Raw genomic sequence first — 12308 nt, forward strand, 5'->3', positions numbered from 1 at the left:
TGCTCATCGTTCTCCCAGCCCATCTCTGACCTGCAGCTTCCCATGGGCCCCAAGGACCCCGAGATGCTGGGCAACCAACAGCTGGCAGTCAAATCCAGACTGCTTAGATTCAGTCTGTCCCCTGTAAAAACCGAGACAAGCCTGAGGTGGAGAGTCAGTATCTTCCTACAGGCATGCAAACTCACTCCAGTATCCAACACATAGCCTGGGCCGGAAGTCCTAGGATGATGGGACGGGGAGGGACCAAGCCTTCCCTTTTACTCATCCCTAGCTTTGTAAAAGTCCTCTTTCCCAAATGGAGCCTCACCCCAAATGCCTTCTGGTATTTGGAATTCCCAAGCCCTGGTGCAGGACAGGTAGCCACCCTGAAGATGTTCTACCAGGCCCAGCAGAGAGATTGAGGGAAATGAGGAAAAGTAGGAGACAGATCTTGCTTGAGCACCCAAAACATGCCAGGGCTTTTACATATGGGAGGCATGGGGTCTGAGTGGGCAGGGGTCTGACAGTTTGAGGATCTGTTTCCTCAATTACACAATGGAAAGAGTAATAAAAGTGTTGGAAGGCTGAGATGATGGAGTTTGGGAGTTATAACCACAGCTAAGGGGTATTGGAAAGGTCCCATTCAGAGAGGAATCAGCCCTCTGTATACCTGGAGAGAAGTAAGGGAGCCCGAAATGGTGCATTGGAGCCAAATCCCAGAGGGTTTTGAATACCAGATCAGGGACTCCTTATCTGATAGAAAATAGGGAGCCATTGAAGGTTTCTGAGCAAGGGAGTGACCTGTTAGAGCCATGACCCTAGCAGAGAAACAAAAGATGGGAAAGTTGGAAACATCCAAAAATAAAAATAAAAGCCAAGACTAAATGAAGTTTGTTATTTGCCATCTTACTGGAGAAACAATGCCAGTTCCAGGCAAATGAATTTAAATGACTAAAGACATTCCAAGGCGTGAGCGGAGTCAGAGCTGGGGCCGGATGATGTGGTGTCTCCCGACCACTGGCAAATCCATCTCCCATAGGTTGCCCGAATAAAATGTCAGCTCCGGGCCAGATCCCATCCACCTGACATTCCTGTTAATAACAAAGCCTAATTAGCATGGCTTTTAAGCATCCATTACATTAATTTAATGCGAAAATCTAATGGAGCTTTATTGGAATTTTTCTCGGCAAAATTAACCTTGCGGGTTTCTTACACATGTTTTCATTAGGGGCTGTGAGCAGTGGAGATACTCAGAGAATTAGAATGAGCCCTTGTGGTTTTCGCTGTAATCCAGTTCCTCTGTCTCTAAGCCCCCCAGTCTGTAGGTCTTTGTTTAGCAAAGCTCCTGTGCCCACACCACACGGTTCTCATAAAGACCATTGCCGTAATGAGAGATTCAAGCTCGAGGCTTGAGCGGGTGCCTGTCTGATTCAAACACACCCCATCTCAGCCCAAAAGATGCAATTCTGGGACCCTGAAGAATTTCAGGACGCCAGGACACGGTTCTCATAAAGACCATTGCCGTAATGAGAGATTCAAGCTCGAGGCTTGAGCGGGTGCCTGTCTGATTCAAACACACCCCATCTCAGCCCAAAAGATGCAATTCTGGGACCCTGAAGAATTTCAGGACGCCAGGACAGGATCCCTAGACATTCACCATCAGGGGGTTTGACCCAAACCTGTAATTCACTCCCCTTCTGGCTATCTTCCAGATGGGAGTGGCCACATCATTCATTCAGAACTACAAGCAATAGGAAGAAGCCTCTAAGGAGGGCATCCTTCCTTCAATTAAAAAAAAAACTAAACTAACTGGAAGAATGATCTCTGCCCATTCATCCTTTCTTCTTCTCCATGTGTGGAACATGGATGTAAGACATGGAGCAGTAGCAGCCATCTTATGCCACGAGGATAAAAGCCCCAGGTTAAGGGTGGCAGAAAGGAAACCCAGGAAGACTCTGAGCCCCAGATGCACCCTTGAGCTGCTAAGGTACCAATACTCATCAGTATATGCCTGGCTGCCTGTTGCGTGAAACAAATTTTACTTGCTTAAGCCTCTGTTAGTGAGTTTACTGTTACTTTTGCAGCCAAAAACAATCCTAATTGATCTACCTGGATTCTGGTCCTAGATTCTCTATGACTTTTGACAAGTCCCTGATGCTCTGTTTATCAGTTTCTTCACCTTCTAATTAGAAGGATGGAATAGAGCATGTTTTTAAAAATCTTTTTTTAGGCAATAAACCCTAACAACCCCACCCCCAATGAATTTGTGTCCCATGAGAAGTTAATAAAACTTAATCCAGGGTTGAGGTGGTGGCAGGTGGTGGGAGTTCTGGAGTTCTGGAGTTCTTCCTACTGGATTCGGCCCAACCCCACACCAGAGAAGCCATAAAGACATCTCTGAGAACCCCACTGCTCCAAAGGGCACAGTTTATGAAACCACCATCCTGAAGACCTCTAAGGCCCTTTTGATATCATGAGGTTCTGCCTCCTGTGGCTGGAATCTAGGAGCCAATGTGCTAGAAAGAGTTCTACAGTTCTCAACCTTTAATATGCTCTCGAATCTCCCAGGGGTCCTGATAAAATGCAGATCCTGATTGGAGTCTGGGTTGGAGCCTGATTTTCAGTAAGCTCCCAGGTGATGCCTACACTCCTGGTCCATGGATCACACTTTGAGTACCAACTATAATGTTGTCTCTGTCATCATTGTCATCACCTCCGGCCAGGCCACTGCTCTTGCCCCATAGCACATCCCCAAACAAGTGAACAGCCTGCAGCAGGGAGGGGAGCATGGTTTCAGAGATGGATAGATGGATTTAAAAGCTGACTCCATCACTTCACTGTGTGATTTGGACAAGTTTCTCAGCCTCTCTGAGCTTCAGTTTCTTTAGAAATGGTGAATACGGGCCAGTCGTGGTGGCTCATGCCTGTAATCCCAGCACTTTGGGAGGCCGAGGCGGGTGGGTCACGAGGTCAGGAGATTGAAACCATCCTGGCTAACACGGTGAAACCCCATCTCTACTAAATATACAAAAAAATTAGCCGGGCATAGTGGCGGGCACCTGTAGTCCCAGCTACTCGGGAGGCTGAGGCAGGAGAACGGCGTGAACCCAGGGGGCGGAGCTTGCAGTGAGCAGAGATCGCGCCACTGCACTCCAGCCCAGCGACAGAGTGAGACTCTGTCTCAAAAAAAAAAAAAATGGTGAATATGAGGGTCACACTGCACAGTTCCAGGCATATCATGGATCCTACAAACCTGAGTCTCACTCTAAAGCCAGGCAGGGGCTGCAGTTGAGGCCCAGCATGACCTTCCTGGAGAACTCAGTCATCCTTTTGGAACAAGGCAACTTGGCAAGACAAAGCCAGGGCTGACATTGGTCGGCAGCGGGGCATAGAAAGCAGGTAGTAGGAGAGGAAGTGGAACAGGGAGGTAGAAATTGGGGTGAGTATGTCAACATTTTGACAATTCAAAGAAAGTGCAAATTATAATCAAATGGCATTTCTCTCTAATGAGACTGTGATCAGATAAAGACACCTCTCCGTGAGGACGTCTCTCATCTCTGCAGCTTGAGAAGTGGGCCTGGCCCCTGGCTTCCTGCTGCCCTCCCAAATACCAGTCCTCAAGATGGGAAGAAAGTCATCACAGAACTTTAGCAACCATCCAATCCAGTCCTCTTCCTCCCATTTTGCAGGTGGAGAAACTGAGTCCCAGAGATGTTAAGCAACTTGCTCAAGATCACATAGCAAGTTGGTGGCCCTCCGGGCAGCACCCCAGGTCTCCTGTCCATGACTCTATATCAAATGGCAATAGAGAGTAGAAGGAGCACTAAAAAATCTAAGAAGGAGCCGGGCTGAAGGAGGAAGGAAGAGCATGACAAGATGCTGTCACTGGGCCAACTTACACAAAGCTCTTTTGTTAGGCTAAGCAGCCAAGACAGGAAATAAGGGTGTTGGGGCTCTTGCTCCCCAATTAGCGTCAGTGTTTTGCTTTTACCCAGTCCCCTGCAGGTGGCAAGTCTGGCTTCCCTTGGGGCCCCTGCTCCTCGCCAGCTCCTTGAGGGTTTTGGCAAGGCTAACAACTGCAGGGCTTGGGGATGGGGGTGGGACCCCACCTGCCACCTCTGCCTGCCTGCATGGTGTAGGGAAAAACACCTAGGCTTTGACATCACCTAAGCCCAGCTTCCAAAGCCCTCTCTGCCACATACTGGCTTGTGTGACTCTGGTCTTCAGGCTCCCTGGCCATAAAGTGGAAACAGAAATGGTACCACACCAGGAACATTCACCCCTCCTCCAAGGTACTATGTGCCTGACACAACAGGCCCTCAACATATGTGGCTTCCTGCCTGCTTCCCTGCCATCTGATGTTACAGACGCAGACCCTGCCCTCGGAGCGTTTCTAGTCTAATGGGGAGAGAAATTTAGTCTTTGAATAATTCAGAAGCCACTTACTCTTGGGGACCTGGGCTGATATCTTCCTAGCTCTAGCTGATTTCTTTTCTTTTTCTTAAACTGAGATTCAGCTTTACTTAAGCCAAGATCAAAATGTGTTTGCCTTTCTCAGCTCACAATGGAGGACAATTGAGGGGAGAGGAATGGCCAAAATTGAAGACTTAGAAATTACTAAGTGAAACTGGCCAGGAGTGGGCTCACTCCTGCCACCCCATGGGGCAGTGTAGGCAGTGGAAGAGCCTAGAAGAGGAGTGGAGGAGGCCACCCTGCAGGATATCAGAGCCTCCCTGGGCCTCACTGACCAAGGGCTATACAGCTGATCATCGGCCCAGGCCAGAGAGAAGGAGGGTCCTCCCACCCTGCTGTGAGCACAAGGGCCATCCCTAGCAAGGTGGGAGAAGAAGCTGAGGGTCCAATCAGTAGCTCCATGCCTCCTCGTCCCTTCCTGGGGTGGCCTGTTTCTGTGTCCTGCAGAGTGAGGCTGGGGGCTGGGAGCTCACCCTCCTCTTCACATGCACTACTCCGATTGCAGCCAAACTTCAAGGGTCTCTCAGGCCTCCAGGCCCACGGAGGCTGGGTCATTCTGCACTAGCTTTCTGAGCACTTCCTGCTCTGTCATTCCTCCCCTGAGCACAATAGGCTTAGAGGGTTGGGTCCACGTTTTCTCTTCTCTTATGTATGCCCCCTCCCCTAACCTTCCTCTCTTCCGTATACACACACTCCACCAGGTAAGTGTGGGGTCTGGCCATTCCACACTGACAGCTTCCCTTCCTCTCCACTCTCCCTCCTGACACCCTGGCACCCACCCTGCCTTTTGCCGGGAGACGGGAGTGTCTAAGTCACAGTGGCCCAAGACCCATCTAGAACAACCACAGTTGGGCATCTCCTGGGCATACCCAACAGGGAGAACAAAAGAGCCCTGCAGGGGAGTCAGAAGACCTGGTTCTCGCCCCAGTATTACTGCCACCAACTTGCTGTGTGACCTTGACCCCTTGCTGGCCCTCTCTGAGCCTTATCTGTAAAATGTAAGGATTACATGAGATGGTCCTAAGGTCCTTCTTTGCTCCAACATCCTGAGTCCCTCACCACCAAGGGAAGCTGAAAAGGAGAGAAGAGAGCTGGCCCAGACTGACCCCCGGGCATTGGCCACGCAGTGTGTGGGGTAATGTTGGGGAGGTGAGCAGAGCTGATATAGGCCTCTGCCTCTGCTCCAAGCCATCCAGGAAAGACATGGTCATGGGGGTAAGAAAGCAAAGCCTCACCCTGGTTTAATTGCACAGTTAATTGGAAATATAGGCCAAGGTTAACTTAAAGGAAAGAATGGTGCTTATTTGGGTGGTTATGCAAATTTATTGCTGCAAAGACTTCCAGGGAAACTGATTATCTGACTATGTGAAGAAACAAGATTAAGAATGAAAAGGGGGAAGACTCTATGTTCTGCAATTCTCAGGACCACCCCCTTAGAAACTGGATCCTCCATCCCTCTCCTAGCCCCACAGAGCAGAACAAGTTCTTCCCACAGCACAGAGATGGCAAACAGAGGCCTGAAGAGCATGGGCACACAGCCGGTTAGTGGCACAGCCATTTGAGACCTGCCCTGTCCCAGTGACCTAGGAAGCCCTGCCCTCCTTCTCCAAGGAGACAACTTTATCTCACCGTCCTGCTACGGGAGGTGAGGAGGACTTCTGTCTGCTCTTCCTTGGAAGGAGGGGTGTGGTGTCCAGCCTCCAAGACAGCCTGGCTGATCCTCATCTCCTGATATTCATGCCCTTGTGTGGTTCTCTCCCACAATGTGTAACCAAGGGGTTATCGCAAAATGACAGTGGGTGACATCCAAGGCCAGATCATTGCACTTCCACCTTGTTCTCTCTTACTGGCTCGGGAAAGCCAGCCGCCATGTTGTGAGGACACTCAAGCAGCTGTAGAGAGGTCCAAGTGGTGAAGGACTGAGGTCTTCTGACCATAGCACCACCTTGCCAGGCATTGAGTGAGCCATCTTGCAATGGAATGAATATCTTAGGGCAGATTCTCCAGCCTAAATCAAGCCCTCAGACAACTGCAGCCCTGGGCCAGCATCTTGACTGTAACTTCAGAAGAAACCCCAAGCTAGGCTGTTCCCAAATTTCTAACCCAAAGAAACTATGAGAGACAATAAGTATTTGTTGTTTTTTAAGCCACTTAGTTCTGGGGTAATCTGTTATGCATCAATAGGCAACTGATGCAAGGTGGTGTTTTAAAATGTGCATTTCATTATTTTTCAGGTGTGGTGAGGCTAACAGATTAGGAGTGGCTACCATTGAAAAGATGGTTTGTTACCGTTCCCAAGGGGAGGGGGTATGCCAAGCCATGCAGGGGCCACATGGGAAGCCAGGGCTGTTCGGCAGGCAGAGGGAGCAAGATGAAAACATGGGCAAATGCCTTTATTGTGGTCTTTACAGGAAGGGTGGGTGAGGCAGGGTAAGCAGGCTCAGGATTGGCTGGTTTGCATTATTTCAGCGAGTTCTGAGATGTAGGGGCCATCTCTAGTTGGGGTGATTAGGGCAGAGGAATATCAGCATAAGAGCATGATAAAGAAGGTGGTTGGGGTAGGGACTCTCTATGAGTTGGTTTGCATAGGAAATGCACCCTCTAGGAATTGGCTGGCAATGGGAGAGGCAGTCTCTCCAAGGTCAGCCAGGCCCCAGACCACAAAGCATCAGAAACACAGAAAATAAAAAGGGAGAATAGGCCAGAGCAGTAGGGACCCTCCTTCCCACAGCTTGGCTTCCTCTTCTTGGGAGTCCATGACTTCAAGAAGCTCAAGGGACTGGGATGGGGAGGTTGGGGGCAGGAGAAGTGGGGTGGGAGGCTGGGTTCTTATGGCCGGCTCCAGAGAGACAGCAGCAGCCCTGGACATGGGGTGATCTCCATTCCACTAGCTCCTCCTCAGCCACCTTCTAGGTCCTGTGGCCTGAAGATCAAGTCCATACATCCTAGTATAGCACACGAGGCTCACCCATAGCCTGTCTGGGGCCTGCCTCTGTGGTCTCATCCCTCTCCCACCAAGGATTCCAGCCCCAGCCCTCAACCCTGCCCCAGCCCATGACCCCTCCTGTCTTCTTCAATGGGCCTCTCATATTCCCTGAACAAGACAAGCCCTCCTGGCTCTCCCCAGCTCTACATATGTTATTCCCTCAGCCTGGCATGTGCTCCTCCCCTGTCACTTGGCAAATTCCTGATTGAAACCTCAGCTTGCAGGCAGTCCCTCCAGGAAGTCCCTATGGCCCCAGGTAGGCTAGGTCCCTCCACCTCAGCACCCACAGCACTTGGCGATGTATGGCTTCACCTCCTGCGTCTCTCCCTGTGGAATCCGAGTTCCTGACAGGAGGGACCGTGTCTTACTCATCCTTGGGTCTTCATCAACCTTGGGCCTTTATCATCCTTGGGCCTTTCTCACATGGCACTGGACCTGATATTCAGTCTGGCATTCCCAGTAAAGAACTTTGTTAAATGAATGAATGAATACATAAGCAAATGGGGCCTTGAGCAATTCACTCCTGCTCTCTGGGGCTCAGTGATTCACCTCTAAAATCAGAATCATCATCAACATCATCATGATCACCATCCCTTCCCTGCTCACCTCACAGCCTGTCATAGCAATGCAGTGAGACAAAGAAGGTACGTGAGCTATGTAAACTGTGAAGTGTGGTGCACCCATGAGGGGGGCTTTCCTTAACTCTCCTGGGACCTAGCATCACTGCACTCTGCATGGCTGCTCTCTCCCCTAGCCCAGGTTTCAGGGAACTTCCTAGGACCTTCTGGGAAGAAGGCAGAAAATTGCCTCCTCCGGTTCTCCCTCCCTCCCTGTTCTTGGAGCAAGTCTGCTTCTGCCCCTTCCCAGCTTCCTCAACAGCAAGTGGAGATCCCTGCAGCCACAGTCTCCCCTCTCCTTTCATTCTTCCCCTCTCTCTTTTCAACAAGCAAACTTGAGAAATGGTAACCATTTTCCCCATTATTCAAATGCATGGAAATTACCTACTTGGCATTCCTCTTTGACATGGAGCCTTTAATTAGCCACTGGCTCCCCAGTCCCCGGGTGTTTCTCTGGCTCTGCAGCTCCCTGGCTTCCTCACTCCCCTCCCTCCATTAGCATCCTAATCAGAGATGCCCAGGTTCCAGGGAAGACAGAGAAGCGACGGTAGTTTCCAGAAATAGCTCATCCATGGCTGGAGATGGAGAGCTGGGTTTGGGTCTCTGTTCCTGTCACCAACTCCTCAGTGACCTTAGACTTGTGTGGGGTCACCTACAAGTTGGGGTCAGAGCTGGACTCAGATCAGGGCTTTGGCCCCATTCCAGATCTCTACCCTCAATTCCACGAAGAATCATTGCCTCCACTTCAAAGACACCTCTCCCGGACCCCATCATCTTGGCTCCTGCCCTTCCTCTGCCCCCACCCTCTTCTGAGAGTTTAACTCCATTGCTCCCTTGGCCATGGCTTTGCAGTTCCCAAACCCTAGTGCCTCCAGGGATGTGGGAGTGGAACCCAATGGGCAGGGTCAGCTCTCAGCCTGGAAGGCCTCAGGCGGTGCCTTGTGGATGCCCAGTTCAAATCAACCAGGCTTGACTAGTCAGTGCCTGGTCCCAGCAGGTCATCCCTGTGGGGTGGATGAGAAGTGGCCAGTGCCCGCTGTCATGAGCCTACAGGAGTATGAGCAGCTATCCTGGCTCTCAACGAACTGGCAAACTGATTGAGAGGTCTAGACTGTCACATAAAATGCCACCAAGCATCAGAGAGGAGGCCCAGATGCTGGCCAAGCCACGCTACCTCTTGGGTGTGTTTGCTAAGATCACACTAGCTGCTACACAGATAAACCCTGAAATCCCAGGGCCTTCATTCAGTGCAAGCATGTGCCTTGACCACATAGAGTCCAAAATTGCACTGGGATGGGAGGAAGAGAGGGTGCCATTTACAGACCCAGGCTGCAAGAGGCTCTGCCATCTTCAACATGCAGCTTCCCAGATGGCCCAGGGCACAACGTTCAGCAGGCAGACAGCAGAAGAGAGGATGGAGAAGATACAGCCATGCCCTAACTCTTGGCCAGAGTAATAATACAACATCCTATCAGCTCACGTTCTATTGGTGAGAACCAGACTGGGAAAAGTCCAGTCCCTTTGGGGCAGCCGCTTCCCAACAGTAACTCTATACCACGGAAGGGGAGCACAGTCATTTGTCTCTGCCACCATAAGCCTCAGTTTTATTGTCTGTAAAACGAGGGCAGGGTGGACTGGACTGAATATCAGGACTGGAAGGAACCACAGAGTTCATGCAGTCCAACCTGCCATCCTCCCCCCTATTCTACTTGGGAACAAACCAAGGTCTGAAAAGTTAAATGTCTCACCCCGTGATCACAATGGCACACCCAAAATTCTAGATCTTTTGACTCTCAGCCAGCGATAAAAATAAGAGCTACCACTCATGGAGCACCGGCCTCACACAGGCCCTTTATGTATACTGTCTCCAACTGTCTCAACAATGGTGTGGAGTAGGTATCACTGTCCCTATTTTACAAATGAGGAAACTAAGGTTCAGAGAGAGCAACTTGCTTAAGGGCGCTGGACCAGCAGGAAGGTAGCAAGGCCAGGAGCTGACCCTGTCCCACACCGCCTCCCCCTTCACTACACCATTTTCTTCTCAAACAGCTAATTCTGAACTCCCCTTTGTGAAGGAACTGAGACCCCAGCCCTTCCCATGTTCTGTCCCCTTGGAGCTGAAATCTCCCTGCTGCCCAGTCACCCCTCCCGACTGCACAGGTCCAGCCAGCAGAGGTCCAGAGAGGCTGAGCCCCAGCAAGGAAGGGGCCACACGTGAGATGAAAATGAAATCTTAAGCTCCCAACCAATTGAATGAAGCCCTCTTGGCCAAGAAGATTCCAGAAAAACCTCAAAACCTAAGTTTTCCAGTAATGACAAGACAGGTCAATCCTGCTTCTTTATACCCTGTCCCTTGCTAACCACTAGTAGACTTTTCTTTTCTAAAAATTAAACAGAAACCAGCCCTGGAAACAAAGAACGGAAGACTCAGTCCTTCACTGACTTCAACCAACTGCCTGGCACCACTCCCTTTCCCTCTCACCAGCATTCCTTCCCTATAAGTGACTACCAACCCCAAGCTGGGTCTGGCAGTTCACAGAAGCTATGCCCAGGGTGCCTCTGTGTCCTCCTTGTGCCTTTTGACATATATAGCTTAATTTTACTACATTTTAATGTTGTCTCCACCCCACAGTAAACAAATAGAGGATGTATGTAACATATATGTTTGCTTTCCACACGAGTGTGACTTCCCCTCATGAATATTCGTATCTTCCTCCTATAACCTATTAAATATGTATGTCTAGCTAATCTACCAAGCAGAAAACTCCTGTAACATCTTCCCTCCCTCTAAGTGCCTGCTTTCCGTCCCTATGGGAGGCTATGCTTCCCAGCCTGCAGGTTGCAATCCTTTACAAGAAATAAAGTTCTCCTTTCCAAATTTATAGATTTTGTGATTGTAAGTTGGCATATATAAATCAGAATTGGGCTTAGCTGTCACATTCCAGATGAGAGCCCAGGGTTGTCAGGGTGCCTTCGGTGTCAGGGACTCAGCTCCACCCATTTTGTTGCTCCATAGCCTCTTCCCTAACCTCACCTCGTGGCCCACTCTGGCTGGTGCAGTGCTAATCATTACATCTGCATTGCAGCCAGCAGGGAGGAAAAAGCAGAAGAGAAGGTCCTCTCCTCCCTTTAATGACACTTCCTGGAAGTTGCAGAGACCATTTCTGGTTTCATTCCATTCTCCGGAATCTGGTCATATGGCCACACCTAGTTGTGAGGAAAGCTGGAAAAGGTAGTCTTTATTCAGAATGAAAATACCCCTTTTCAGCCGAGGGGGCCTATACAGGTACCTTAACCTGCCTGAGCCTTGATTTCCTCACCAGTAAGACTGAGTCATCATAACTGCCTCATGGGGTTGGGGTAAATATTGGATTCAATGATATCACACACATCAAAGTTCTGGCACATAGTGGGTGCTCAGTTAATCTTAGTTTCTCTTCCCTGCCCCTATGCCCTACCTAGAGTGAAGCCCAGTGAACTGGTAAGTGCAGGCCATGGCCATATCCTCAGGCAGTCAGTTATCTAGGGCCCATATATTCACAAGCAGGTAGCACAAAAGCACACAAAGGAACATGAAAATGACTTCCAACTACCCCTCCCACACCAACCCAGGGTTTATACACTTCTAGGAAAGCTCCTCTCCTTATTTTGCGCTTCAAGGCCATCATCCCATCTTACTCCTTGCTCACCTAGAAACATGGTAGGGTGGGTGTGGTTAGGGGCCACCATGCCTGTATCCTCAGCCCCATACACCACCCCTCCATCACAGTATAATGGTGCCATCCACCCCCTGGAGTTGATCAGAATTCCATCCCTCCACTTCCCAACACTGTCCCAGACCCTACATCCTATGGGTTAAGGAAGAATTGGGGTGAGAAGGAGGGAGGCCCTGTCAAGGTGTATTGGTGGGAGAGCTTTTGGCCTATCATGATGAAGACTGAGGGTGCTCTGAAGGCCCTTTAAAATGTTAAGACATTTCTGCCCCTCTCTGGAGAGAGCATCCAGGAGACAAGCTCTGGTCCTGCTTGTGTCACTACTGCAGAGAGGCCAAGGCCTCAACGCCTCATCTGCAACACAGGACCCTCCCTGTCCCTCCAACCTGACCATTCAGTGATGCAAGTGAGGACACCAGCGGCCACATCCCCTGCCTTTAAGCACCCAGCCTCCCTGTCACGAAGCCCCCCACTCTGTGTGCTGTGGGCAGGGTTGGAGGCTCACCCGTGGTAGAGCCTCCTGGCTGGGCTGCCCTGCTT

At 50.3% G+C, this 12308-nt stretch overlaps 1 long non-coding RNA gene across 7 annotated transcripts in view, besides 1 other annotated feature; it reads right to left on the minus strand.

Annotated features, from left to right (window-relative positions):
- The window catches only part of LOC105371742 (uncharacterized), a 163994-nt gene that overhangs the window by 77613 nt on the left and 74073 nt on the right, over positions 1-12308 (minus strand). The gene's annotated exons all lie outside the window — the stretch shown is intronic.
- Positions 814-1108: a silencer, noted in NCBI's record as "tiled region #1211; K562 Repressive non-DNase unmatched - State 22:ReprW". NCBI's record gives its function as "represses a minimal TATA promoter and a strong SV40 promoter by Sharpr-MPRA in K562 cells {active_cell/tissue: K562}" and the evidence as "EXISTENCE:reporter gene assay evidence [ECO:0000049][PMID:27701403]".

This window comes from Homo sapiens, chromosome 17, assembly GCF_000001405.40.
Source record: "Homo sapiens chromosome 17, GRCh38.p14 Primary Assembly".
Lineage (NCBI taxonomy): Eukaryota > Metazoa > Chordata > Mammalia > Primates > Hominidae > Homo > Homo sapiens.